The 27,874-nt window shown below is 37.5% G+C and overlaps 1 protein-coding gene and 1 long non-coding RNA gene across 3 annotated transcripts in view; one reads left to right on the top strand and one right to left on the bottom strand.

The window, feature by feature from the left end:
- LOC124904345 (uncharacterized) lies at positions 1,796-5,489 on the bottom strand. Its single transcript, XR_007066445.1, has 2 exons — positions 5,188-5,489; positions 1,796-4,580 (listed from the first exon to the last, which is right to left on the bottom strand). It is a non-coding gene; the product is annotated as an uncharacterized LOC124904345 (long non-coding RNA).
- Positions 4,280-27,874, top strand: part of DSC3 (desmocollin 3) — a 53,378-nt gene continuing 29,783 nt past the window's right edge. For both annotated transcript variants that reach the window (NM_001941.5, NM_024423.4), the window contains exons 1-7: positions 4,280-4,430; positions 14,746-14,830; positions 15,850-16,049; positions 17,394-17,513; positions 21,107-21,262; positions 22,529-22,673; positions 24,520-24,686. In NM_001941.5, coding sequence (NP_001932.2) covers positions 4,362-4,430; positions 14,746-14,830; positions 15,850-16,049; positions 17,394-17,513; positions 21,107-21,262; positions 22,529-22,673; positions 24,520-24,686 — 942 coding nt within the window. In that variant the 5' untranslated portion in view covers positions 4,280-4,361. The remainder of the gene's footprint in view (positions 4,431-14,745; positions 14,831-15,849; positions 16,050-17,393; positions 17,514-21,106; positions 21,263-22,528; positions 22,674-24,519; positions 24,687-27,874) is intronic.

The raw sequence follows: 27,874 nt of genomic DNA, 5'->3' as shown, positions 1-27,874 counted from the left end.
TCCAGTGGAAAGAGATTTTTCACACTAGAGGAAATCAAAGTGAAGAATTATGTGATGATTCTGAGATGAGGTGGACAAAAAGTTCACCCTGTATCAGGGCTTTGTTACATGGCTTTAGTTTAGTTGCTATAAGAAGTTATCACTCACACAATAGGGTTTTGTCTTTTGTGTGGAAATTACCATTCCTTCCAGCCAGTGGGAAGTTACTGGAAGATTGCTCCTCCCTCCTTAAAAGGACTGGTTGAAGAAGAGGATATTTGTAAAGGAGTCTGAAGATTTTAGTGGAGGAAGAGTAACCCCATTGTAAGAGATCTTGACTCATTAATTAACAAGGAGATACTGGAAGGGAACTTTTCTGAGCTTGGCACACCCTATTTGGATTAAACTATTGTAATAGTGTTACTTAGACTGGATAATGCTGAATTTGAGAAATGTACAAATGTCCGACTTTTGAATGATTGTTGCCAAGGTTATAGTGAAAGGTCACATTTCTGTGGATGGGCGTGAGCTTTCTCCTGAGAGGAAGGGATAGTCCTACTGTCAGTCATTCTGGGGAGATATGAATCCTAGGATGAGAAGTGAGGACGTGAGGAGACCCACAGCAGAACAGGGGGAAGGGGAAATGTCCTTGGAGGCCAAGGGTCATTTGGATCTAGAGTTGAGGTCCTCATTGCTGTGTGGAGTAGCATTCTCATTGGATTGAAATTAGCACCAAGTGCTAATTAGGTGCTTGCCATGGGTAAATAGGTGAGAAGGAGGCACATAGGGATTCTGGGACGGCTCTGGTAGTGGGCAGCAATGCGATATTTATAATTGACTTTTGACTTAAACCTTCTGTTATCCTCAAGGCCCCAGCAGTCTTTTGAAATGACCAAAATGTGGTGGCTGTTCTCAATAGTGCTCTGGGAAATCTGCAGAACCTCTAGTCACACTGCGGCTATTTATCCTAAATAATATTCCAAACATGCTTCTGAGTTCATGTCCCATGGCGGAACTCATTTTTGTGCCACAGGTGTAAACAAATCTTTTACTTGTTTTTAATTCAAGCTTTTTTTTTCATAAATTCCTCTGCTCTTTCTCGTAAGTTTGTCTCAAACATTGTACAGTTGTCCTGGCGGTATTTCGTAGGAGTGTTTGAGGAAACCTACAGTTGCCATGTCACCGTCCAGGTAAGCCACTGAGATGAGTAGGTGTGTTAGACTAGCACCTGTTGGTGCTGAGTTGTGCAAGGCAGCCTGGCTCGTGGGCCAGAGGTCAGGTCCCACCTCCTAAGACTAGTTAGCTCTTCCGTAGTCAGAGATTTCTCATAGGTCCAGAGTAAGAGTACTCTTCTTCATTATCTTGTTTGCTTTCTGCTGAAAATGTTGCAATTCACCTGAATTTCTGAAGTTTTGTTCTTTAGTCTAAAGTCAATTCCCATTTTTGATCCTTTGTTATTGCTGCTCTTACCCTTCAAACTAAGAACATAACAAGGGAAAATAATAAATTATTTTCCCATTTTGGCTCATTATCCTTTTAGCAGTGACTTCCAACTGACTTTGCAGTTTGAGGGATAGGGTATTAAGATAAAGACAGTTCAGAAAACTCTTTATGCTTTATGATACCTCATGATGATTTAAAATTAATTTTATAATAGAAAGCATCCAGTTCTAACTATATCTAAACTGAAGCTCATATTTGAAAAAAAATCAACAAACTATTTTAAATCATAATTTATATGGGAAAATATAAGCAAAAAATATAAGCAATTTAATTTATCCTCAAGTCATATTTATGTTGTAAAGATTCTTCTTTATATGATAAAAATGCATTGCTTTTTATTAGGACTTAGATTAATATACTCATGGTGGACAAACAGGAAATTCCAAAATCATTACTAATACTACATTCAGTTATTAATGTTCGTATTGCACCTAGAATTTTGCAATACAAGTTAAAAATATCCATAATATGTTTTCTTCGAGTTTTTCTAAAGCAGATTCCTACAACTTTTATTTTGCGGAAGCTAAAAATGGAAGCTCACAGCAATTGTCATATTAGTCAGTAGGCTTAACAATAAATATCCTCTATTACACAGCACAGTCAAAATAATCAGGGGATAGCAATTTTAGAGTTTTAGTCTTTCAAAGGACAGTCCTAACCAGGCCAGACTCTCATAAATCTGAAGATAGAGTTGAAATCATAGAAAAACTAAGAATAGTTAGAATAAAGACAAACACTTCAAAGTCTTTCATTCCCTAGGTATTAAAGAAAGCCATATTACAGCACAAATGGGTTCATATGTGCAAACTCACCAAAAGTGACAATTTTGTAACAGTAGTTACTAACCCTTTTCACACATTGAATGGATGGTTCTCCATTTCTGTCAGGATGAAATTAAATTCCTCAGCATGGTTTGTCATGAACCATCTTTCTAACCGAATTCCCAGCCATTGCATGTAACCATTCTGAACCAACCCCTTTCTGCTTTCTTACCCTGGGGCACTCTCACAAGGCTCTCCAGAGCTTCTCATGTCCTGTTGATGTTGTGTTATCTTGAAGCATTCTCCTACCCTTTCCCTTTTCTTTGCTGGGCTTATCGCAACATTTTGCTTCTTCAAAGCTTTCTTCAGCTAAGTTAGATCCTCTCCTCTAAAATGCCTTAACACCTCAACCCTTCACTCTAACAGTGAATTCAAAGTGGTGAGGGAGGGAGATTGGTGCTAGCCATCTCCTTTACTCATCTAAGTTCAAGAAAACCATTCTACTTGAGTTTCTGAGGGCTGGGGGGCTGGAAGTGACTTTGAGAAGCTTTCTCTGAGGTCATGCTGGAGGCACGTGGAGGATGGGAGGTGAAAACCCTGGAGTGGAGAGAAGTTTGGAGAACTTTCTCTGAGACTGGAAGAGCTCTTACATACAGAGACCTCCACTGACGGGTGCCTGGGAGATTCACACTGGGAAGCTCAACTTAGAGTGTCTGAGCCCTTAAAGCTGAGCCTCATGAGTTTCAGGGAAGCCCCAGACTTCAGGGAATACATGGCTTAGACGACGAGGAGTCTATTAGACTTGAGCCAGAGTGAGATGAATGAAGGTCATAACACCCTTTCATGATTAATTGGCTGTCTGAAATTCCCGACCTTGCAACTTTTGAATGGACTTCGAGGAGTAGCATCTCATGTCTGAGAGGGATTTCCTCCTGAATCCAGTAGATGGGAACTCGGGGAACTTAAAATTCAGTTTAGGGAGAAATAAGAGGATGTCCCCCTGGTGTTACAAACGACATCTCTATTAAAAAGTGTAGCCTACTGGGCTAGGAATGATTGTCTTTCGTCCCTTTCTGACTTTGAATTATTTCCGACAGGAACTAGATTTTCTGCATTTCCTTTCTTCCATGCCCTCACACAAAGCTTGGCCGACTTCGGGCCCTGATAAATAGTCGTTGCATGATGTAGAATCTGTAAGCCTCGTTTTAGAAGGTTTTGTGTGGTAGATATTCCTTTGACCACCTGAAAAATTTCATTTTGGTACCAGTAAGTAGTAAACCAATAATTCACATCTAAGAACAAAGTCGTTTTTAGAAGGTTCATATGAGTCCCCCAAACTGACAGTTAATAGAGCGCTGAGTGTAATCACTCATATTTTGGGTGCGTAAAAATGGTTAGATTAGAATTTCTTAAATTTGGTTTTAATTTCTGACATGCCAAAAACTGTTTATCATGCCATCTGGGATAAATTCCTTCTGTCGTGTATTTTGTCATGTTAGTCAAATCCGGAGAGAATACAGTACATGTATTTTGCTTTAATCTGAAAACATTGGCAGAATTTGTTCAGACGTCGAAGGGGAGATCCGCTGATCCAATGACAAGGGTGTTCCTGGCATCCAGCAGAGCCCGTGTCGAGGCAGGGATCCCTGCGGGCGGATTGGGGTTCTGCATTGAGATGCACCGCGCAGCGCCGGCGATGGGGCCGCCCTGGGACGATCTGGGCTGCCAGGGCCTCTCTGCGGGCCGGGCGGGGCGGCAGCGCCGCGGGGCAGCCGAGGGGCGTGGGAGAACTGGCAGAGGGTGCGCCAGAGACCGCTTTCCCGAGCGCGAACGCCCGGGTGGCTGCTGGGGAGCAGAGGGGCAGGCTCGGGCAGCTCCTCAGCCGCGCCGGCGATGATAAAACTTGAGAAATAACAAGGAGTGGCCTCTCCGCGTCCTCTGGGTCCAATCCGGTTTCAGAAGTGAAGTTGCTCCCGGGCAGGCAAGCCTGAGAGAGGCCAAATACACTTAAAAACAAGCAGCGGCGAGAAAAGCACCTCCCGCGCCCTGCACCTCGGCAGGTCTCGCTCTCGGCACCCTCCCGGCGCCCGCGTTCTCCTGGCCCTGCCCGGCATCCCGATGGCCGCCGCTGGGCCCCGGCGCTCCGTGCGCGGAGCCGTCTGCCTGCATCTGCTGCTGACCCTCGTGGTAAGCCAGATCTCGCCGGATAGGGCTGGGGTGGGGACGGGGGTGGATCCGCCCTGGACGCTGCACGGAGCTGGGGACAAAGCGGGCCGAAACGTGACAACCGCGGCTCAGATCAATGCTGCGGGTCTGGTAGCAGCCCCAAGTTCGGGCCTGCAGGAGTGAGGAGAGAAAACGTGTGTTTGCGGGTCGACTCTGGACTGAGCTTTTTGTTTTGAGACAAGGTGTTCGATTGTTGGAATTCTGAGTCGCGCTCAGGCTTCGCTGCGCTCTGGCGGGCGCCGTCGCGGGTTGGGCAGGGGGTTGGGATTCACGCTTCTCCCCAGGTGGTGGAGCTGGTGGTGATGGTGGTTGGAGGGCGCCTTTGGGTGGAGAGGATCCCTGAGAGCTCAAAGCACAGACTTGAAAAGGGATTTAGGGGCTGCCCCCTCCCCAGCTCTGGGTCGCAGTTGACCCGGATTGGTTCGTTAGTGAGTGGAGCCGGGGCTGTGTCCCTGGGTCCCTTGGTGGGGCTGCCCCTGAGAAGTGGGTTTCTCGGTATCTCCCCTAAAGGGTATTCAGAAGCTCACCCAAGCGGTCCACCCCCGCCAGCCACCCAGCTGGGGGCGGGATGTGCCGGGGGCGCGAAAGTGTGGGAAGACCGGGCCAGAATGGGGGTTGGGGTCGTGTTGTGTTTTGGGGATGCTGCCGAGGTGTGGAGGCGGGTAGAGGGTGACAGTGGTGGGGGATGATGGATGCGGTGGGGTTGCGTCGTACTTACTCCGGCTCCGGGGAGGACTGCGCGGCCGGAGCACAGCCTGGGGTTTCGAGTCTACGGAAACCTGCCGCCCAGGACGAAATCCTCTAGGAGAGGAAGTTAGAGACGATGCTCTGAGAACACGGGAGACTTGAAGTGTTCGGAACTCTGGCGGCGCGGTTACACGCGAAGCTTCAGGCTTCAACAGAGTTTCATTCCGCACGCCCAGAAAGGAGCCGCGGACCCGCGACTTACCCGCATCCATGGATGCGCATGGGGTCCGATGGGAGCGAGGTCTATACCCGCGTCGGCAGTGAGCCGAGTCTGGTCTCGCGGATTCTTACTGCTTCCTGGCCCTCCACCCTGGCAAGTGGGAGTGGGTCCAAGGGTTGTCCTCCCTTAAGGTCAGCGAGGTATGAATATGGGATTGGTAGTTATGATCTACGATATGTTTATGGAGAAGGAATTGGACAAATAAGCGCATCCATTTGCCCGGGAACTGTTCCAACAAAGTATCTGAGCTTATGAAGTGACTACAAATGGAAACGGCTTAGAGAATGTGTTCTTTTGTAATATATTTAAAAGCATTTTCAGCTTTTCAGTTTACAAGCATGCATTTGGGGTTTTGTGTTTCCTTTGCGAAGGGATTGAGGATGGGGAACGAAACTACGGGTGCTGCTCTCAGAATTTCTCGCATTCGCTCGAGGCTCCCAGAGGCCATGGAAGACCAGGAGCTTTCCCGGCAAGGCATGGGTGGGGGTGTCGAGCTGTGGCAAGGAAGAAGGTGCGCGTAAATCTAAACGGAGGAAGCTTCAGCTTTGATCTAGCACATACTCGTTTAAGATTTTTTTTTTTTAAAATAATTCCGTTGAGTTTAGGTTAAATGCTGTATCTGGAGACTTAAATACCGGAAAGTGCACAGAAAATGACTATTTCATCTGCAATTGTCAGTTTACAAACACTTGCAATTTCGGACCGGATGGGTAAATTAACACTTCTCTTGACCATCTCATGTATGTATTTCCTTCCTTTTGACTCATACGACTCTCAACTTTTCAATATAATATTAATGACACGGCATTTTAGAAACATTTTTCATTTTATAGAGACTTTAATGGATATCTTTAAACCATTACTTATCTTTAAAACATTGTTTGTTCTAAGGAGACAGCTTTTCAAAGCAAGTCTTTAACAAGAATCTGAGACTTGTTAAATTTTAGTCTTCCCAGTAAGCAGCCCAACAGGTTGAGGGAATTTTCCCATTCTGCATTTTTCCTGTATCTCCTTCCCACCGTGTGCCCCACCACACTCTGAAGTGTAAATACAGTTTCTAATAATCACACGCACAAAGAAAAAAATGACAGGGAGATACTAAAAAAAGAAGTATATCAGAGCATCTCACTCACTATTGTAAGTTTTTGATTGCCTCAGAAAGTGTTTTTTCCTCTTAATGTAACCAGAATTGTTAGGGATGGTGGAAACTAATTTACATGAGATCAGTTGTCTTCTGCCTGTTACAAATAATAAGATTCTTTTAAAAATATGTGTTAATACTGTTATCAAATCCACTTTAAGATTATGTTATCTAGTATACATTATAAATGGCACATACTTGGACACGGCTAATCCATCATTTTGTTAAAAGGGCTCCTCTTCTAAAGGAACTAAAATAGTTGAAACGTTTGCAATAACTCCCCTCAAATCTGTACTTTTCCTCTTTGGAGTATATGAACTCTGCCTGCAACCTATGTTGATAAATAGGCATCCAAATTTTTATATTTGTTAGGGTTAATGTGAATAATGTGAGTCCTTACCAGAAAAACTTGTGATGTTTTTGCTCTTGGTAATATTTGATATATTCATCATTTTAAATTAAAAGGGAGTATAGTAATTTCTAAAGGCTTTTACATTTGTGACAAGAAGATTAAGGCAAATAAAGGAAGTAGATGAAAACTAGTTTTAAAACTGCAAGCTTAAAAAAGTCAAAATTATAGTATACGTATATTTAGATTGATGCATTATCAGCTACCTTATTAAAAGGAGATTGTTGATGTTCCTGTTGAGATACAGCTAGATACGGAAGCACGTTCTGAATAAATAAATGTAAGCTCATGCACATTTTTGGATCCTGTTGTAATTCCCATGGCAGTCCTGTACCATATATGGTATCTGTGGTGACCTGTAGTTAATCATACTTTCCGCTGAAAGTATGATAGCTGGAATTCCCATCTTACAATGAGTTTGGGTGGAAACAAATTTATTAGACTCATTTAAGTACTGAGAATGTAGAGCAGTAAATCTTGCAATTTACCTTTGAAGTGGTAAGAATTTGAAAGGTAATATTTCCATTCTGCAGAAGACTTATGGCCACAGGAGAAATGAAGAGTTTAAAATTCTGTAATTATTGTGTTTAATCCAGAAGATCCTCTTCACATTTAAGACATTCCATAAATTTCCATTCTTTTTCTTCTCTACTGAAGTAGGGTGTCATTTTAGAAAGCCTACTTTGTGTATTTACTATAAAATTAAACAACAGCATGAAAGTGAAACAACTGCAGATAACACCTTTAATTTTCGTTCTCTCTTTGGCATTAAATTTTTCCATCAGGATTTAATGATTCGTCTGATAAGGTTTCTATCATGCAATTAATACAATTTGCTTAGTACTATAAAATGCAACAAAACTATTTTGCTTAGGCTGCAGTAGGTAATACTTTATATTATCATCTTTAAAGTTTGTTATATTTTAATTTAAAATATGGGCATTCTTGTATACAGAAGTTATTTTTATTATAAAATATCTTTAAAGGTCATTAGTTCATCATTAATATACTAGTGTCTTTACATTTTTTACTTTATTTTGTTTTCAATAAGGCATCCAAACCTCACAAAAACATAATATCAAATGACTTCATAGTTTCAAGAAACATACTATAACTGAAGTCTATTGAATATTATCCCTTTCAAAAGTTGTATTAATGAATTAACTGTACATTCTTTCTAATAATATCCTATGCAGCAAAGAAAATGAATGAGCTACTGCTATATAGTTAGGAACTTTGAAAATATTAGTAATGTTCCATTTCTTAACCTTGAACGTGAATACCCTAATGTTCATTTTATTATTTATTAAAACACACACATGCTATATGTAATCTTTGGTATTTATAATATATTTTATGAAGAACATTTTTTAAAAAGGAAAGAAATGAGCAATAGAGGGTATCAACTAAACTAAACCTCTTGAGTATAGACAAACCCTACTCTGAGCAAGTCAAAAATAGAAAAGGCATACATAAAACAATATTAGGAATGAAAAGGAAGTATAGTTTTGGAGAGAACAGATGTTAAAAAGTAAAATAACATGAATAGATAATTCCAATTAACTTGAAAATACAGACAAAACAGACAACTTCTTACAAAATACACATAACCAACATTGACTTGAGGAGGTATACAAAATCTAAATAGACCTGTAACCATTAAATAAATTGAATTAGAAGTTAGAGAGCTCCACACACACTTCTTTAGATCCACCAGGCCCAGGTTTGTGATAAGTTATTTCTTTCAGAATTATATGGAACAATGTACTTTATGTAAATTGTTTCAAAGAACAAAAAAATACAGAACTCTTCTTAACTCATTTTATGAGGATCGTATGAAGTTGAAAAATAGTAGCCTGATCTCACTTACAGACAAATATGTGAAATGAGATAAATTGAAAACAAACCAATATATTTGTAAGATATAAATATTTTATGTTCTTGTAAGGCTTATCAGGAAAGGAAACATGGGTTCACATAAGAACATCTATTATTGTATTTTAACATAGTATCAACAGAGAAAATGTATCAACAGAGAAAAACTGATTATTTCAAGAAAGTGGAAACATTTCATTTCAAAAGAATTCATAGAATTCATAGCACACTAAGAATGTAGAGAATGAACTTTTTTTTTTTTTGAGATGGAGTTTTGCTCTGTTCCCCAGGCTGGAGTGCAGGCTGGAGGTTGGCTCACTGCAACCTCCGCCTCCCAGATTCAAGTGATTCTCCTGCCTCAGCTTCCTGAGTAGCTGGGATTACAGGCTTGTGCCACCACAGCCGGCTAATTTTTGTATTTTTAGTAGAGACGAGGTTTCACCATGTTGGTCCGGCATGTCTCGAACTCCTGACCTCATGATCCGCCTGCCTCGGCCTCCCAGAGTGCTGGGATTACAGGCATGAGCCACTGCGCCTGGCCAAGAATGAACTTTCTTAATGTAATGAAACATATCTAACAAAAATGAATGAATGAATGAATGTTACAAGGAAAAAAGAAAAAGACTCATAATTAATGGCAAAACTGTAAAAATATTCTCTTTAAGTTAGAAACAAATCCATAATGGTCAGTACAGGTGTTTCTGTTCAGCATTCCAGAAGAGGTCCTAACAAGCATATCAGATAAAAATTAGCAATAATGAAAGACTTGTAGGATTAAAAGAAAAGAAACCTAGTTGTCATTTTGCCAGCGACAGGATTAACTACATAGAAAATCCAACACTATCTATTAACAGATACTAGAACTAATAAAAGTAAGCAAGTTTCATGGATATAAGCTTAATATTTTTAAATGATTTCTATATATTATCAAGGGACAACTCAAAAATATGTTAAGAAGAATCCCATTCATTACAGCAACAAATCAATGTATCTAAGATAAATGTAACAAAAAATGTGAAAGACCTTTTTAGCAAAAATTGCAAAGCTTTATTGAAAAACAAACATAATTCGGCCGAGTGCGGTGGCTCACGCCTGTAATCCCAGCACTTTGGGAGGCTGAGGCAGACAGATCACGAGGTCAGGAGTTCAAGACCAGCCTGTCCAACATGGTGAAACCCCATCTCTACTAAAAATACAAAAATTAGCTGGGGGTGGTGGCAGGCGCCTGTAATCCCAGCTACTCAGGAGGCTGAGGCAGGAGAATTGCTTGAACCTAGGAGGCAGATGTTTCAGTGAGCTGAGATCGCACCACTGCACTCCAGCCTGGGCCACAGAGCAAGATTCCATCTCAAAAAAAAAAAAGGAAGAAAGAAAGCAAAAAGGAAATATAATTCATAAGTAAGTGAGAATGAATCATGTTCATGGATGGAAAGTCTCAAGAGCCCTAAATGTCAAATCCTCTTTAAATTAATATTTAAAGGAAATGGAATTTCATCAACATCCTAAAATAAATTTTTACAGAACTTGGGGAACTGATCATAAAATTGTTTTGAGAGTCAAAGTCTAAAAAGAGCAAAAATACTACTTTAAAAAAAAAGATTGAGCAATGGGGAACTTTGAGGTTTTTGAGTATCTGGTATACAGAAAATTTTAATAAAGATGTGTCAAATGAAAAAAACAAAATTGAAGCACTCTGTTTATCAGAAGATTTCATAATAAAAGTTAAAAAGCAAACTAAGTAAACCTACAAGAAAAAAATTTAACAAGCACAAACAATAGATAAGTGATTAAAGGAGGAAGAATAGATGATTTACAGAAGATAAATGGCAAATAAACACAAGAAAATACAGTCAATCTCACAACAAATAAATAAAATGCAAATTAAAACAGCCATTAGGTTGGCAACATGGAAAAAGTCATAAAATTATTTGTAAGGGAGGATATGGGAAATAGAGAGATTTAATATGCTAGGGGCATTAATAGAAATTGATATTAGTACTTTGTAGAGCAACTTGGCAATAGCTAATAAAATTGAAGTTGTTCATGTATGGCACAGTAATTTCCGCTTTAGGCACAGCTGTTCATATAGTGTCATTTGTAATAGAAGAAATGAAAAGCAATCTAAATAACCATCAATAGGAGAATGACTAAAAATAAACTGTGGTACATTTATGGAAAAATCTCAAACATACTGTTGGATGAAAAAAGCAAACTGCAAAAGGATGCATATAAACAGATACTACCCAAAACCAGCTTATATTTTATGGGCACAAGCATATACTATATAATGAAAGTATAAAATCCTACTGAGGAAGTATAAATTCTAACTTCTGAAAACTCTATTCCCTGGAGAAGAGTTGGAAATATAATAGAGCATAAGACTTTAGCTACGTGTGTAAATTTTAATTAAAAAATAGAACAAAAATTGCAAAATGTTCATTTTTTTTAAAGATCTAGATGGGCACTGAGCATTTATGATTTAATTGATTTAAATATTTCACAGTTAACTGAGATATTTTGAAAAGAGATGTGAGTAAATATATATTGGGCATAGCTTTTTTTTGGGGATTCAAAAATAACAACTACAGAGTTATGATATATTTCAACCAATGGGTGGTTTGTTGAAGGAAACCATTTTTCATCCCAAGGTGACAACTATATACTTAAGGAAAATATTAAATTAAGCATATGTATGATATGTTTTTTTTAAAGGGCAAATGACTTATTACTTCATTGTCCCAGTTTGCAATCTGGTTATTATTTTCTGAAAATGATTTCTTGGCTTATTATATCTAAATTAAACAGCATTGTTACATGTTGGCCCTATTTGTCCATATTTTTGTGATATTTTTGTTTATTCTGACTAATTTAAGTGAGGGTAAGGTGGATCTTTGAGAAGTACGATAATTTTAGATCACATATTAGAATAATTGTGATAATGTATATATTTGTATATACATATATTTACAGTTATGTTACCGTGAGTTAAAGTATTTTAATTTTGTGCAGAAATCTGTTTCATATTTGATTATATCAGAAATAAAATACTTCTTTGTGGTTATTATGCCACTTTATTGTGCTGAAATTACTTCTGTGAATTTATAAATTTGACAAGGCCTTTCACTGCCAATTTCTAGAAGTGATTGTGGAAAGTCATTTTTTTGATCAATGACAGTGTCCTTTTTTGTTTTAAACTGCATTATTGAGATATAATTTACATTCCATAAAATTCACCTTTGTTAAGTGCACAATTCAGTGAATTGTAGTAAATTTGAAGAATGTGCAATAATCTAATTTTAGAAGTTTTTCATCACCTTAAAAATAAGCCTCATACCCATTTACAACCACTTCCCATGGAAATTTACTTTGTTCCTGTATATTTACCTATTGTGGACATTTTATGTAAACGAAATCGTACAGTATGTGTTGTTTTGTATCTAGTTTCTTTCACCGAGTATGTTTTATAGGTTTATCCTTGTTGTAGCATGCATAGAACTTAATAAAGTACTTTTTAGAGCTGAATAACATTTCGTTGTATGGATTGTTTTCACTTTTTGCCTATTGTGAATAATGGTATGTACTGTGAATATTCATGACAAGTTTTTGTGTGGACTTAGGTTTTTATGTCTTTTAGGAAGAGTGGACTTGCTGGATCATATAGGTTTACGTTTAACTTTTTGAGAAACTGCAAAACTGTTTTCCAAAGTATCTGCACCACTTTACATTTCCTCCAGCAAAGTGTAGGGGTTTCAGTTTCTCGACATCCTCACCAATACTTGTTATTTTCTGTCTTATTTATTTTAGTTATCCTAGCAAATAGGTATTGCATTGTGGTTTAGATTACCATTTCCCTAAAACCTAATGATGTTGGGCATCTTTTCATCTACTTTTTGGCCATTTTAATATCTTTTTTTGGGATAATACCTATTCTGATCCTCTGCCCGTTTTTCTGTGTTATTTATCTTTTTATTATTGAGTTGCAGGAATTCTTTAAATATTTTCGATACAAGTCCTTTATTCGTTTGAATTTTCTTCAGGCCGGGCGCGGTGGCTCACGCCTGTAATCCCAGCACTTTGGGAGGCCGAGGCGGGCGGATCACGAGGTCAGGAGATCGAGACAATCCTGGCGAACACGGTGAAACCTCGTCTCCACTACAAAATACAAAAAAATTAGCCGATCGTGGTAGCGGGCACCTGTAGTCCCAGCTACTCCGGAGGCTGAGGCAGGAGAATGGCGTGAACCTGGGAGGCGGAGCTTGCAGGGAGCCTAGATCGTGCCACTGCACTCCAGACTGGGCGACAGAGCGAGACTCTGTCTCAAAACAAAACAAAACAAAACTATTCTATGAGTTGTTGTATTTTTCACTTTTGTAAAGAAAGTGGCATTTTTGTGGAGAGCAGAAGTTTTTACTTTGAATAAGCATTATTTAAGAACTTTTCTTTATCACTGTATTTTTGGTGTTGTACATAATAAATCATTTCCTAACCCAACATCATAAAGATTTGCTCTCAAGTTTACCTCTAAATAATTTATTTCTTACATTTATGTCTGTGGTTCATTTTGAGTTAATTTTTGTGTATGGTTTGAGGTAGGCGTTCAAATTCACTTTTTTTTCAGGAAGATATCAAATTATCCCAACACCATTTGTTGAAAAGACTATTTATTTCTCTTGAAATGTCTGGAAGCTAATCATAAATGTAAGGCCTTATTTCTGGGATTTAAGTTCTACTCCATTCATCTATATATTTATTCTATTGCCAGCACCACTCTGTTTTGATTATTGTAGCTTTGTAGTAAGTTTTGAAATTGGTAAATAGGTCTTTCAGTTTTTTTTCATTTTCAATTTTATTTGGGTAACTTGTATTTCTAGAAAGATTAATTTTCAATTTCTTCAAAAAAAGTTATCTGGGATTTTTATACAGATTGTATTGAATCTGTAAATTAATTTGGGGAATAGCCATGAAGATGGGCTATCTCTCTATTTATCTAGGTCTTTAAAAATTTCCTTCAGCAATGTTTTATGGTTTTCAGTGTATAATATTATACTTATTTGATTACATTTATTCCTAAGTATTTTATTCTTCTTTATATGCTACAAATCAATTTTTTTGCTTAGTTTTCAAATTTTTCAATGCTAGTGTACAGAAATGCAGTCACATGTTCATCTTGTATCCTGTAGCCTTACTGAACTCATTTATTTAGACAGTTTTTTAGTGGATTCCTAGGATTTTCTGTCTACAAATTTATGTCATCTGTGTATAGAAACAATTTTACCTTTTCCTTTCCAATTTGGATGCCTTTGATTTTATTTTCTTGTGTAATTTTCCTGGCTAGAAGCTCCAGTATAATGTTAAATAGAAGCATGGTGAAACCCCATCCCTACTAAAAATATAAAAATTAGCTGATCATGGTGGCGGGCGCCTGTAATCCCAGCTACTTGGGAGGCTGAGGCAGGAGAATTGCTTGAAGCTGGGAGGTGGAGGGTGCAGTGAGCCAAGATCACGCCATTGCACTCCAGCCTGGGCCATAGAGTGAGACTCAGTCACACACGCACACGCACACGCACACGCACACACACACACACACACACACACACACACACACATACACACAGAAGCAGTTAGAGCAGAGCAGACATCATTGTCTTGTTCCTGATGTTAGAAGAAATGATTCTGTTTTTCTCCTTTAAATATGAAGTTAGTTGTTGTTTTTCATAAATGAACTTTACCATATTGAGCAAATTCCTTTCTATTCCTAGTTTGCTGGGGTTTATTGTAAATGGGTGTTGGACTTTGTCAGTTGCTTGTTTTACATCTATTGATATGATTATGTTTTTTTTAATCTTTATTTTCTACTGTATTAATGTGACCTTTTAAATTCTAGATCTTCAGTCGTGCTGGTGAAGCCTGCAAAAAGGTGATACTTAATGTACCTTCTAAACTAGAGGCAGACAAAATAATTGGCAGAGGTGAGAAATTTTAAAAGTCTTTTTAAAGCAGAAATTTAGTTTACATAGGCTGGAAAGAGCATGATATAATACCTTTGCCTTTTGGAGTTAGCCTGAATCTACTAAAAAGGGATGTTCCTCCAGGGAGTAAACCAGAAGTTATCATTCTGTTAAAAATGTGAAGAGAGAAATATGTCATCAGCCCTGAAGATGTTTATTTATTTATTTATTTTTGCTAAATATTTCCACCTGGGACAGATTTGAATTAAAGTGAAAACACGACTCATGGACAGCAAATGAACCCTTTGAGAGGTCTTTTCTTAACTGAGTAGTAATTTATCCATTTGCCTTATGTTAAGACAAATAGTTGAAGAATGGCATGGATGACAGGTACATTTTGATATTTATATGCATTTTATTACCTGTTACTAGAGGCCAGAAATCCCAGGGAAGAAAGACTCCATGTAGAGTTTCAGTGTGCGGCCTTGGAAAGCTTGGAACACACAGAGTATTTTGGGCCTCCAGGGAAAATTGTGTACAGAAAAGTGCCAGTGGGAAGAAAATTTCGGAGATTGGATTTTTCTAACATGACTCTTTACCAAACTCATACACTCCATTGCTCTTTGGCTCATGGCTTCTCACTGAATATAGGTGTATCTTAAACACTCAGATTGTATTGTTAGGGAAACTCTTCTATATGTTTATTCAGGTGTGTTGGGGGCATGTTGCTCAGTTTTGTCATGATTATAACATGCCCACATCTTTAATTGGAAGGTCATTTTCATAAGTCTATTAGAAGCATATAAAGGTTTAAAACACCTTATTTAATAGAAATATACACTCAATAATTATTTGTTAACTGAAAGAAAATGATCATTTTTTAAGTAATGTAAAAAACAGGTTAAGATATCTGGTAAATGCAAAGTGATTGGCTTATTTCATCCCACTTCATGGTTTTTAAGAATATTATATAAATTATTTTAACACGTTTTTTTTTCTCATGTGTTTTTACCTTACAACTTGGAAATTTTTACTTGCAGTTAATTTGGAAGAGTGCTTCAGGTCTGCAGACCTCATCCGGTCAAGTGATCCTGATTTCAGAGTTCTAAATGATGGGTCAGTGTACACAGCCAGGGCTGTTGCGCTGTCTGATAAGAAAAGATCATTTACCATATGGCTTTCTGACAAAAGGAAACAGACACAGAAAGAGGTTACTGTGCTGCTAGAACATCAGAAGAAGGTATTTAAAGTACATTAAATATTTTCAGTCATTTTTTCATTAAAATACTCTTATTAAAAATTGCAAAGAGAAACAAGGATAAATAGGGTATTTTCCCCTTTTGTTTTCATTTTGTTTCCTTTCCTTTCACTTCGTTTCCATTTTCTTACCCTTTTCCTTCCCCTCCATTTTCTTACCCTGTCCTTTTCATTCCTTCCCTTTTCCTTCTCCTTTCCTTCCCCTTCCTTTTCCCCTTCCTTTTCTTCCCTCCCTGTCACCTTCCCTCTCTCCCTTTTTCTATCCTTCTCTCTACCTCTCACTCTATTTTTGTCTCTCCCTCTCTCTCTTTCTTAACACTTGTTGAACTCTGGTTTTGGTTTTACTTTATTAAATCTGAATTATTTCTCCTCTGTGAGGGCTTCTTCCACCTCTACATTCTAACTATTGTCTTTTGTGCACTGGTGTCAGTTTGGTTATCCCTCTATTATAGAACTCAGAATTTTTTTACTGCAAAACCTTTACAGTGAGGAATGCCATTATGAAAGTAGTCACAAAATGATGAAAGGTTTAGACTGGATTACATCTAATCTGTGTTAACTGTATCAATAATAAAGCTAATTTAAGTTACAGCTTAGCACTTTGCTAAATGTTTAATGCAATTATTAATTAATTCTTATGAAATAAAATGTCTCCCTTGCTGCATCATGAAATGAGATGGACATCACTAAAAAGTCTAATAGAACTTTTTCCCATGATAGAGATGGCACTATCTGCACTGTTTGATATGACAGCTCAATATTAATGGCTACTCTGCACTTGGCATGTGGCTAGTGCAACCAAAGGATAGAGCTTCTTATGTTATTTAGTGTCAGTTAATTTAAATTTAAATAATCACATGACTTATGGTGGCCAAGGGCTACCATATCAGACTGTGTAAATAGAGCACTATGGCAGTGAAGGACATACATTTTCTTTCTCTGACCTAAGGGCATGAGCTTTTAACTAAAAGAACAAGTAAGTGCTATCTGGAGATTGTTGTAGACAGAATATGTTCTATGTCTCCATTTGGGACAAAGCAAGAAGAACTAAGAATATAGTGGTGATTTTCCTAACATGAAAGTATAGTCAGTGTTAGAATGGTATACAAAAAGAAATTCTCTGTTTCTTGAAACCTTTAAAATCTGGATATGTTCTTTCTTACCCTTCTAATGCAGAAAGACTTTATTAACTGGTTTAGCTCCAGCATGGAAATGCCTGACACTGAAACTCCAAAGAAGGATTAGGTTTATGAGCTGTCCACTATTTTACACAAAGTAGACTGTGATGCTTTTGTTTATTCATGTATTTGTTTTTCTCTAAATTCAGGTATCGAAGACAAGACACACTAGAGAAACTGTTCTCAGGCGTGCCAAGAGGAGATGGGCACCTATTCCTTGCTCTATGCAAGAGAATTCCTTGGGCCCTTTCCCATTGTTTCTTCAACAAGTAGGTTTACACCTTTTCTGGTCAGGGTTGCTTTAATTCTAAGAGTCTGTTTCATTGAGATTTAATACCTCTTTAAACATATAAAAATAAACAGATCTGATTAAAGATGTTCATGAGGTGTAACAAAAGTAAAATGAGAAAGAAAATTACTAAAAACCTAATAATATGAGAAAGGCCCTAAAGCCATTGAATGATCTTTATTTGTTTATTCATTTATTTAGCAGGGAGTTACTGAGCACTTAACTATATCCTGCGGGAGGTACTGCTCTAAGTACTAAAGATATAAGTAAATTTAGTCATGGCCCTTGCTCTCATGTGGGTTATTGGCCTCGTGAAGGAGACAGAAGTAGGATAATAATTACAATTTTCAGTGATGAGTGCTATGATTCTAGTATAGAGATGTTGGGTGATTTGGTAACAAATGAGATGAACATTAAACCCTGAGGTAAGGTGGTAAAAAGCAAGAGAAGGCTTAGAGAAGGAGACATCTGAGTAGAGTCCTGAAGAATGGAAAATTTTTCTGCAGGTAAATAATTGCAGAAGAAGAGGAAAGTACAGAAGTGAGAGCTCCTTAGAGGAGCTCTGGGTGGCTTAGTCTTCCAAGGTTTGATGGAATGGAGCAGGGAGATGAGGCTGAAGAGGGAGGTAGGGGTCAAACCACTATGGACTATGTGCATTCTACTAGTAAGTTTAACTTTATCTTAATAATAAGGAGAAATTCTTAAGCAGATTACTGACATGATCAGGTTTAGTTTTCTCATTAAGGTAATAGAACATGCACAATTGAAACCATTACTGAAGTAGGGCTATGGCCTTTTGCTTGCCTTTTTCCCCTTAAATTTCTAATAGTGTGCTTGATATTTAATACTAATGGTGTAACCTGTGTACTAATTGTTTCAGTTTTTAACTATCCTTCCACAGTCATTCACATTTATTTTTTATTCTACCCTAGTGCTAGACATTTGTTTATTCTCCATGAATATTATAACTTTATTTGTTTATTCTCCATGAATATTATAACTTGAACACTGATGAAGCATATTAAGAAATGATTTCTAATTGCCAAAGCTGTACCAATCATAGCTAGTTTTAGCCTTTGCTTTGCAAAACCAGTCACCATCTTAGTCCTCATTTCCTTGACATATTTACATTTGACATAGCTCACCTTTCCCTCCTTTTTGAAGTATTTGTTCATTTGGCTCCTAGGACACCATTCGTCTAGTTTTCCACTTACTTCATTGATCACTCCTTCGTATGTTTGGCTGGATCTTCCTCATCCATCCCCCTAGCCTCCTGTCCCAGTCTCTAAACTTCGGAGAGCTCCAGGGCTCAGTCAATGAATCTTACCTCTTGTTTCTTGATATTTACTCTCTCAGTGATCTCATCAGATCTCATAACTCTAAATACTATTTTTTTCATGAATACTTAAAACTTTGTATTTCCAGCCCAAACTATCTAATTGATATTAACACTTGGAAGTTTAATAGGGTTTCAAACTAAACTTATGGAAATAAAATGCTTGTTATTTCTCTTAAAAACAGCCTCCCATCTCAATTAGCAGGGATTAGAGTTCAATCATTCTGACTCTCTGGGCATTGGAGTGTGTTTCATAAGGTTTAAGCTGCAGAAAACATAGTTCTCTCTAAGTTCTTAACAGATAAGGATTTATTACCATTTATTAAAGAGTTTTCAGAATTGTCCGTAGGGCTGAAGAAACAAATTTTAGGTTGAACTTTCAGAAACAAATCCTCAAGCTAGCTATACCACAGTATCTACAACCAAGGGACATATTGCTTTCTCCATAATAGAGAAGACATTATTCTGAGAACCAAAGTGCCACTGGCACAGTCAGGAAAACACCATAGCCATGTTCCTCCTCATGAAACTTCAGAACAGTCTCTGAACTGCACCAACCAGCATCAGAGAAAAGATTGATCTGTATCTTATTTTGTAACACAAAGTTGGCGAATATCTAGTAGTACATATGCTATTGCAGAAAAGGAAGGAAAGAAGGAAGGAAGGAAGGAAGGAAGGAAGGAAGGAAACCAATGCATCTGAACTGAGCTGTCAGAAAAAATAGCAGAAGTAGCAAAAATGAGACACCTGCCTACCTCAAAGAAAGAAAGAAACATAAACTGTGATGCCAGCAAAAATAACAGAAGCAGCAAAAATGAGACACCTGCCTACCTCACTTTTGGCATTCCAATCTTGTTCAAGCACGTCTGACCGTCCATGTTTAAATCCAGAACTCTGGTTTCAAGAGATTCTGCAAAATTTGGAGGTTTTGGTTTATTTTCGTTTGAATATTTCTATCATCTACATTATGAGAGGACACTGTAGAAGGAAAATGAAACAGATATTGAGCTTCAATTTAGCCTATATGTCTATTCTTCTCATAGTTAAACTTTTGATTTCTGTATTATTATACATTATTGGAATAGGTGCATTTTATTGAGATCCCAATTACTAGTGGCTTAAACAAGACAGAGGTTTATTCCTTTCTTGTAAAAGTGTGATCTGGTAAAAAGGTTCTAATCTGAAAAAACACCAAGGACCCAGGTTTCTTTATTTTTTAGCATGGCTGTCTCTGCAGGTTCCAGATGGCTCACCTCTGTGTCCAACAGGGAGAAGACACTCTCTCACCTTCTAGAGCACAACTGGATTTTGCACATATCATTTTTGTTCACATTCCCTTGTCCTGACCTTAGCATGTGGCTCTAACTAATTGCAAGGGTGACTGAGAAATCCTTTCTTCTGGACAACCTTGTGATCACTACAAATTCTAATACTAAGGAAGATGGGCAGAATAGATATTAAGAGATACTAGCACCCTCTGACATAGTGTCCTTGACTTCCATCTTTATACCACACATCCAACTCATCAGCAAATTCTGATGGCTGTACCTTTAAATTATATCCAGAATCTAACCACTTCTCACCACCCCTATGGCTATCATGTTAGCCTAACTAACTACAGTCTCTTCTCTGGGTTTTTGCAGTGACTTCCTCAGTGGTCTACCTGCTTTTTTCCTTACCCATCCAACCACCTCTAGTCATGCTTGACAAAACAGCAAGTATTACCTTTAAGGATATAAATCAGATGATGTTACCCTTGTCTAAATTCTCCAGTGGTTTTCCATTAGACTCCAAGGAAAAGCCAGCATCCTCGAATTCTCCAATGTGGCCCCTATTACCTCATTACCTCTTCATCTCCTACTTCTTTTTTCCATGCTTTTTCTACTCCAATCACAGTGGCTTTCTTGCTACTCCTTGAACATGCTAGGTAAAACACCAGCCTGTTCCCTTGCACTTCCTATTTTCTCTGCCAGAAAGATCCTTCCCTGTTTATCCTCATAGCTTATTCATTTAATTTTTGTCAGTTTTCTTCCTAGGGTACATTCCAATTGGGATTCCCTTCTTCCTGTGAGAATCCCTGTTTGCCTTACTCTTGCCAACAATGGTTATTATTGTTCTTTTCTACCTTTTCTTTTGAAATTATCTCTTTAAAATAAAAAGATACATCAGCTGCATTTAAAAAATATTGTAACTGAATTTAGTTTTAATTTTTTTGCATATTTTTTTTCTACTTTTAGGTTGAATCTGATGCAGCACAGAACTATACTGTCTTCTACTCAATAAGTGGACGTGGAGTTGATAAAGAACCTTTAAATTTGTTTTATATAGAAAGAGACACTGGAAATCTATTTTGCACTCGGCCTGTGGATCGTGAAGAATATGATGTTTTTGATGTAGGACTTTTATTGATATGCCTGACTTTAAATTATTAAACTATGTTTCTTCTGATGCTTACTCCAGCTACTCTTTCCTCTCTCCTTGCATTCTCTTCTTAGAGGGTATCTTAGAGTCAATGGGAAATAGAATGTGCAACATTTTGGAATACTTGGTCAGCTCTTTGTCTCAACTGCTGTTAGGTAAGCCTGAAATGAAGCAAAGAGGTTCAATATTTGAACATAAATTTCAAAGTATTTCGATGTAAATGTCAGTAAATTTCCAAAAAGTTGGTTTTGCTTATGAGATAATCTCTCTCTCTTTCTTACTGGTTGCTGGCACCTTTTCCTCATTTCAAGACATGTCTACAGTTGATTGGAAGAATCCTGTATCTATACTGTTCTTACTTCCATTTTTGTCTTCCTTCCACACAGATGATTATTTGATCACATCTGAGAACTACATAAGAAAGTGAAAGTGGGAGACCAAACTCAAATAAGGGCTAATAAGCCAGTATTCTGATATAGATGAGCTTATAGTCAATAGCAAATAACTCAGATAATTTTCAGTGTAATATGGTAAATGCTGTGAGGTCATGTGTCATTCCCATGATTCTGATGGAATGATTTTCGGAAAGAGAGATTCTGTTCCTACAAAAAAGAAGGAAGAGATGCTGTGTAAACAAACATAACTGATGTACCCCATGTGACATGCTTTGCATTTGCTTAGAAAATTTTCAGTTCAGTGTTGTAATCACATGTTCAGTAAAATATATTCTATTTGACATTACATTGCCTTTACTCAGCAATGGGGAAACTAGTACATGTATTTTGTCAGAAAAATTCTTACAAATATGTGGTCTATTAGGTAAAATAATAACAGGGTTTGATAGTGACAAATTGGGAATTGCTGCTTTATTTAGATAATGTAGTAGGAATTTTTCCTATTGCAGTGAGTTTAATTGTTCTCTCCAGCATAATTTTCTGATTATAGAGAGAATTTATATTCACATTTAATTCCTCAGTCTAGTGGACAGAGTCAGCCCCGACTTCACTGTACTCTGACCTAGGTTTTATTTGCGATAGCCATTTCCATCACATACTGGATGCTCTTTGCAGTAAAGTGTTTCTCCATTTGGTGCTTTGATAATTAAAAACACAGTGGATAAAAAAACTTCAAAGTAGTTTATTATTGAAAAGATTTGCAAGGCAGGTAGTAGATAAAGCATCTTATTCTGTCTTGCCGGGATCTGATATTAATGGAACTTTCTTTTTGCTATTTTGCAGTTGATTGCTTATGCGTCAACTGCAGATGGATATTCAGCAGATCTGCCCCTCCCACTACCCATCAGGGTAGAGGATGAAAATGACAACCACCCTGTTTTCACAGAAGCAATTTATAATTTTGAAGTTTTGGAAAGTAGTAGACCTGGTAAGTCTGCTTTTAAGAATAAAAAGAATCATTTTAAATATGTCTGTGTACATTTTAAAAGACATAGAGCTTTTTATACTCAAGGCCAGATCAGCCTGAGATAACGCTGAACTAGAATCTACTTACCAGAAAACACTTAATCCCATCACTTTCAATCAACATGTGCCTTGCCCAGATAGTACAGAAGTTTCTGTCATTGTCAATATGATACTAATTAACTGTAAAGGGAGCTAACAGTTATTCAAGCTTTGTGTAATATTCAGTTTATATATTTTATTTCATTTCCTCGTGGGTTTTTCATTATTCTCAACTCCAAGAGAGGACATGCAGGGTGGAATGAACAATAAAACTAAAATCGGTATAGTTTTTTTCTTTGAGCTTTTATTTAGGAAGGTGTTAAATGACATCCACTAAGGGTACAGTTTTTTTTATGCTCCTATTTATATTATCTTCTTTTAAAACTACTACCTCACTACTTCCAATTTAGAATGAATACCGGAATAACTTCAGAGAAACTTACATCAAATGTTCTCTATTCTAAACACTTGCTCTTACATGTGGAAAACTGAAGTATTTTAGTTTACCTGGCCCTTAAAATGTGGCACTTACGATGGCTTCTGAGACTTGTAATATGGAGAATAACCCCTCACAATAAAGTTAAAAGAAGGAGGATTCAGTCATAAAGGATGACTTTCCTAATTTGCTTTTTAAAGTTTCCAGTAGTTGCTTAGATCTTCACTGCAATATTATATCTGCTTTTTCCCTTTATGTTTTCCTTTGTTAATCTGATGTCATAGATGTTAACCTCTTTATTACTCACGTGGTACAATTTTAAAAATTTAAAAAAATTATTGGTTTGGAGTTTAGGAAACCTAGTTTTGTTTCTTTTTAAATAAATTTTATTGTGTGTAGTGAAGGTTTACAACATGATGTTATGGAATACACACAGATAATAAAATGGCCACTAAAGCATAGAAAACATCGTTTTTGATGTAGGGTGTGTTACTAACTCACTGTGGAAACTCATGGAAGTCCCTCTGAGTTTTCTTACTTGTAAAAGGAGTTCATTACATTACATGACCTACAATGTTTTTAGCCTCACAATTCTATGACATTACATTGACATTATATTGCCTTTAATTAATTAGCAATGGGGTATGCTTTCCCTTTTTCAAAAAGGGGTAATTAGTTTCAGGCTTTCTTGAGGAGTCTGTTCTCTTTTACAGTAACAGAGAAAAAAAAAGGACAAACACTTCGATGCCCAGCTTAACCCAAGGTACTTTAAGCACATTTTATCAGTAGGTTCAGACCAGTTAAGGCTGTGATACTAAACCGGTTTATTAAAACAAATCAAATCAGGAAGTAGCAAAAAGATTATAGAAAGGAGAGGCTGGACTACTAAAGGTCAACTTGATCATCTATATTATTACTGCATACCCCTAATCAGTCTTGATTTAGCTATTAATCAAAAGTCCAATTTTTAAAAAATCTGATTATTAAGGAGACATGGTTTATTCCTCCATCTAGGTTTGTTATTGAAATATGTGCACATATGTATTCCAATTAATTTTGATTGCCATTTAACTAATTTATTTAGTGATTTATGATCAAATGTGTTAAACTGTGAGCAAAAGTATACCTTAATTTTCAGCATCAAAGTGTTATGTGTGATAAATTTGAAGTTATCCTCTTCAGTCCTATCTAAAGATGAAATAATACTCTGGTAATAAATACATTTTAGATTAGGTTTCTATCATCACTGTTAACATTTTAAGATTGTAGATACTTTTGAAAGTATATTTAACAATTCTGTAAATTAAAGGCTGTTTTATTTTTTAATGTGTAGGTACTACAGTGGGGGTGGTTTGTGCCACAGACAGAGATGAACCGGACACAATGCATACGCGCCTGAAATACAGCATTTTGCAGCAGACACCAAGGTCACCTGGGCTCTTTTCTGTGCATCCCAGCACAGGCGTAATCACCACAGTCTCTCATTATTTGGACAGAGAGGTAGCTCACACACTCCATAGAATTTCATTTCGCTGAGGATTAAGCTTCCCTCCCCCATTTATTATAACTTGCTATCCTGTGGATTAATAGTTTAATTTTATTTTAGGCATAAGACAATAAGAATTCCTAACAATTTTTTCTGTTTTTTATATTATTTCTATTTCCTTATGTTAGAGTAGCCATAAGGACTAGAAACGCAGATCAATTGGCATTTAGAAGGGATGAGAAAAGAAAAAATTTCATTATAAATTTTTTTTTCTTATGTGTGGCTAGTTGGTTCCAGTTCAGCAAAGGTTTCAATTTTCATGTAGGACAATTAATTTTGCTTGTTCTATGAGTGTGGATCATGCCCTGATTTCTACTTTAATTATTATAGATATATATACTTTTAGTGAGGAAAGGATTAGTTGAAATAAAATTGATGGATTATTAAAAATATGAAACACTTTTTTGGATGATAGTAATAGCATATTGTCATGTATCTAGTGCTTTATATTGAACTTCTTAATGCATAATTTTATTTGCCCTTTAGAATATTTTTGTTTGACTAGACACGTGTTATATCCTATCTATAAATGAGAAATGTGACAGAAACATTGATTGACTTGCTCAGGTCAAATTACTGCACTGAATCTTATCTTTAGTTTTTATTGTTCTATTTTGTCAGCAATCATGCATTATTGACTAAGGCAGATGAATCAATTTTATATGGACAAAATAGCTTTATTGGAATAGTTCAATGTTTCCCACTACAACTAGAATACCTTATATAGAAGAGTCAATATGACTAGAAAATATATTATAAGGAAGAAATCAATGGGATTTGATGCCAAAGAAACAGGGAGAGATGGTGGGAATCTATAAAAAGTACTGAGAAGTAGTACAAACGTTTTAATTGTCGTTATTTTTATTTTTTATGGGGCCGGAGCATTTTATGTTATAGATAAAATACATAAGGATAATAGTAAGTGGGAAAGTTTTAAGGGGAAAGTCTGAATGTGCTTTTGTATCTGTGGAGTTTGTAGGGATGATGTAGTAATCAAGTGAGTAATTGAAACTTTGCAAGTTAACAGGTTTTAGTCATCAAATTTTTTAAAATGAGGTTTAGAAAAATTAAATTTAGGGGTCCACAACTTGTAAGATACAGTTTTAGGATCAAACCCAGGTCTGCTACTTTCCTGATGAAGAAAAAAATCTACCAGATTTTGTGGGCAACAACCATGGAGCGTTGAGGGGAACAACATGAGAAGTAAAAATGATGGGAGATAAAAAAAAAAAACAGTGAATTTAGAGGAAGATAAAAAGAATATCAGGGATTCTTAAAGCATACGGGAAGAGCATTTTAAGGTGGGAATATTGGTTTACTTTCTCTGTTTGTATTTTTTTCTTTTTTTGAGAGAGGGTCTCGCTCTCTTGCCCAGGCTGAAGTGCAATGGCACAGACATGGTGCACTGCAACCTGTACCTCCTGGGCTCAAACAATCCTCCCACCTCCGCCTCCTGTGTAGCTGGGATTACAGGACACACCACCATGCTTGGCTGATTTTTTTATTGTTTGTGGAGACAGGATTTTGCCATGCTGCCTAGGCTGGTCTCGACTCCTGCACTCAAGCAATAAGCCTGCCTCAGCCTCCCAAAGTGTTGGAATTTACAGGCATGAGCCATGGCACCTGACTAGAATATTGACTTTCAGTATGGAAGGGAGATCAAGTAAAATAAAGACTGAGGGAAGAGATAGAGGGAAACAAAAAAAATGAAGAAAAATAAAAGAATGAAAGCGTGACTAACGAACAGTAAAATAAAAGAGGAAGGCCACAAAGATGATTGTACCACAAATTAATGACTTCAATTCACCATCACCACACCATCTGCAAAATTTCATTTTTTGCAAATCTAACAGCAACCTTAAGTCCTTGTCTATTGCTGGCACTTGTTAAAACTCTCTCTTCCCTTAGACTTCTGGTCTTCCTCCTGCTTCTCTGATCTTTCCTTTTTAGTGTCCTTTGTATGGTCTTCTTATTCCCTCCATGCTACAAATACTGTAGGTCCTTACATCCGAGGCTCTTCTCATCCTGCAGCCTCTCCTGAATTGAATAATCTGATTCCTGCCATAATTTCAACCACCATCTAGATACTGATGATTTCTGGGTAGACATTTCTAGTCATGATCTCTTCTGTACATATGAGGCCATATATCCAGGTGCCTTTTGGACTTTACTCCTTAGATTTCCTTCAGGCACATAAGATTCAACATATGCAAAGCAAAACTCAGTATTTCTACCCCTTTGCCAACCTCAATAGTGTTTACTTCCTCCGAGAATCGTTCTCCTGCATTTCTTGTATTGTTTGATGATGCACCTGTCTTCCTATCTCTCCAAGTGGGACACCTGAAAATCATTCTCTCTTAACTTGTATATAGAATTTACTGTTAAGTCCTACTCCATTCTAACTCCCAAGTAAATTTCCTGCCATCCTTTCTCTTTGTCCTCATTGCTACTGCCTCAGATTTGGGACACTTGCCCTATTTATTTATTTGTTTGTTGTTTAGAGAAGAGATCTAGCTCTGTCGCTCAGGCTGCATGCTGTGGCATGATCATAACTCACTGTTACCTCAAACTCCCACTCAAGGGTCCATCCGCCTCAGCACCTCAAGTAGCTTGGGAGTACGGACACATACCACCATGCCCAGCTAAATTTTTATTTTTTTGTAGAGATGAGGTCTTGCTATATTGCCCATGTCTGTCTCAAACTCCTGGCCTTGAGCGATCCTTCTATGTTGGCCTCCCAAAGTGCTGGGATTACAGGCGTGAGCCACTGCGCTGGCCTAAGCCACCTGTTTTAGATGATTGCTGCAGGGGAGTTTCAACTAACTGCTTTGATTTTTTGGCTTTCTCCAAATTATGCCAAAACTTCCTTAAGGATATATTTTTTTAAAACTCAAATGTTCTGGCTGGGTGTGCTGCCTTATGCCTGTAATCCTAGCACTTTGGGAGCCCGAGGCGGGTGAATCACGAGATCGGGAGTTTGAGACCAGCCTGGCCAACATGGTGAAACCCCGTCTCTACAAAAATACAAAAAATTAGCTGGGCATGGGCACCTGTAATCCCAGCTACTAGGGAGGCTGAGGCAAGAGAATCATTTGAACTCAGGAGGCGGAGGTTGCAGTGAGCCAAGATCGTGCCACTGCAC

Source organism: Homo sapiens, chromosome 18 (genome assembly GCF_000001405.40).
Source record: "Homo sapiens chromosome 18, GRCh38.p14 Primary Assembly".
NCBI lineage: Eukaryota > Metazoa > Chordata > Mammalia > Primates > Hominidae > Homo > Homo sapiens.
The sequence above is the reverse complement of the archived record's forward strand: the minus strand, read 5'-3'. Positions and strand labels throughout refer to the sequence as shown.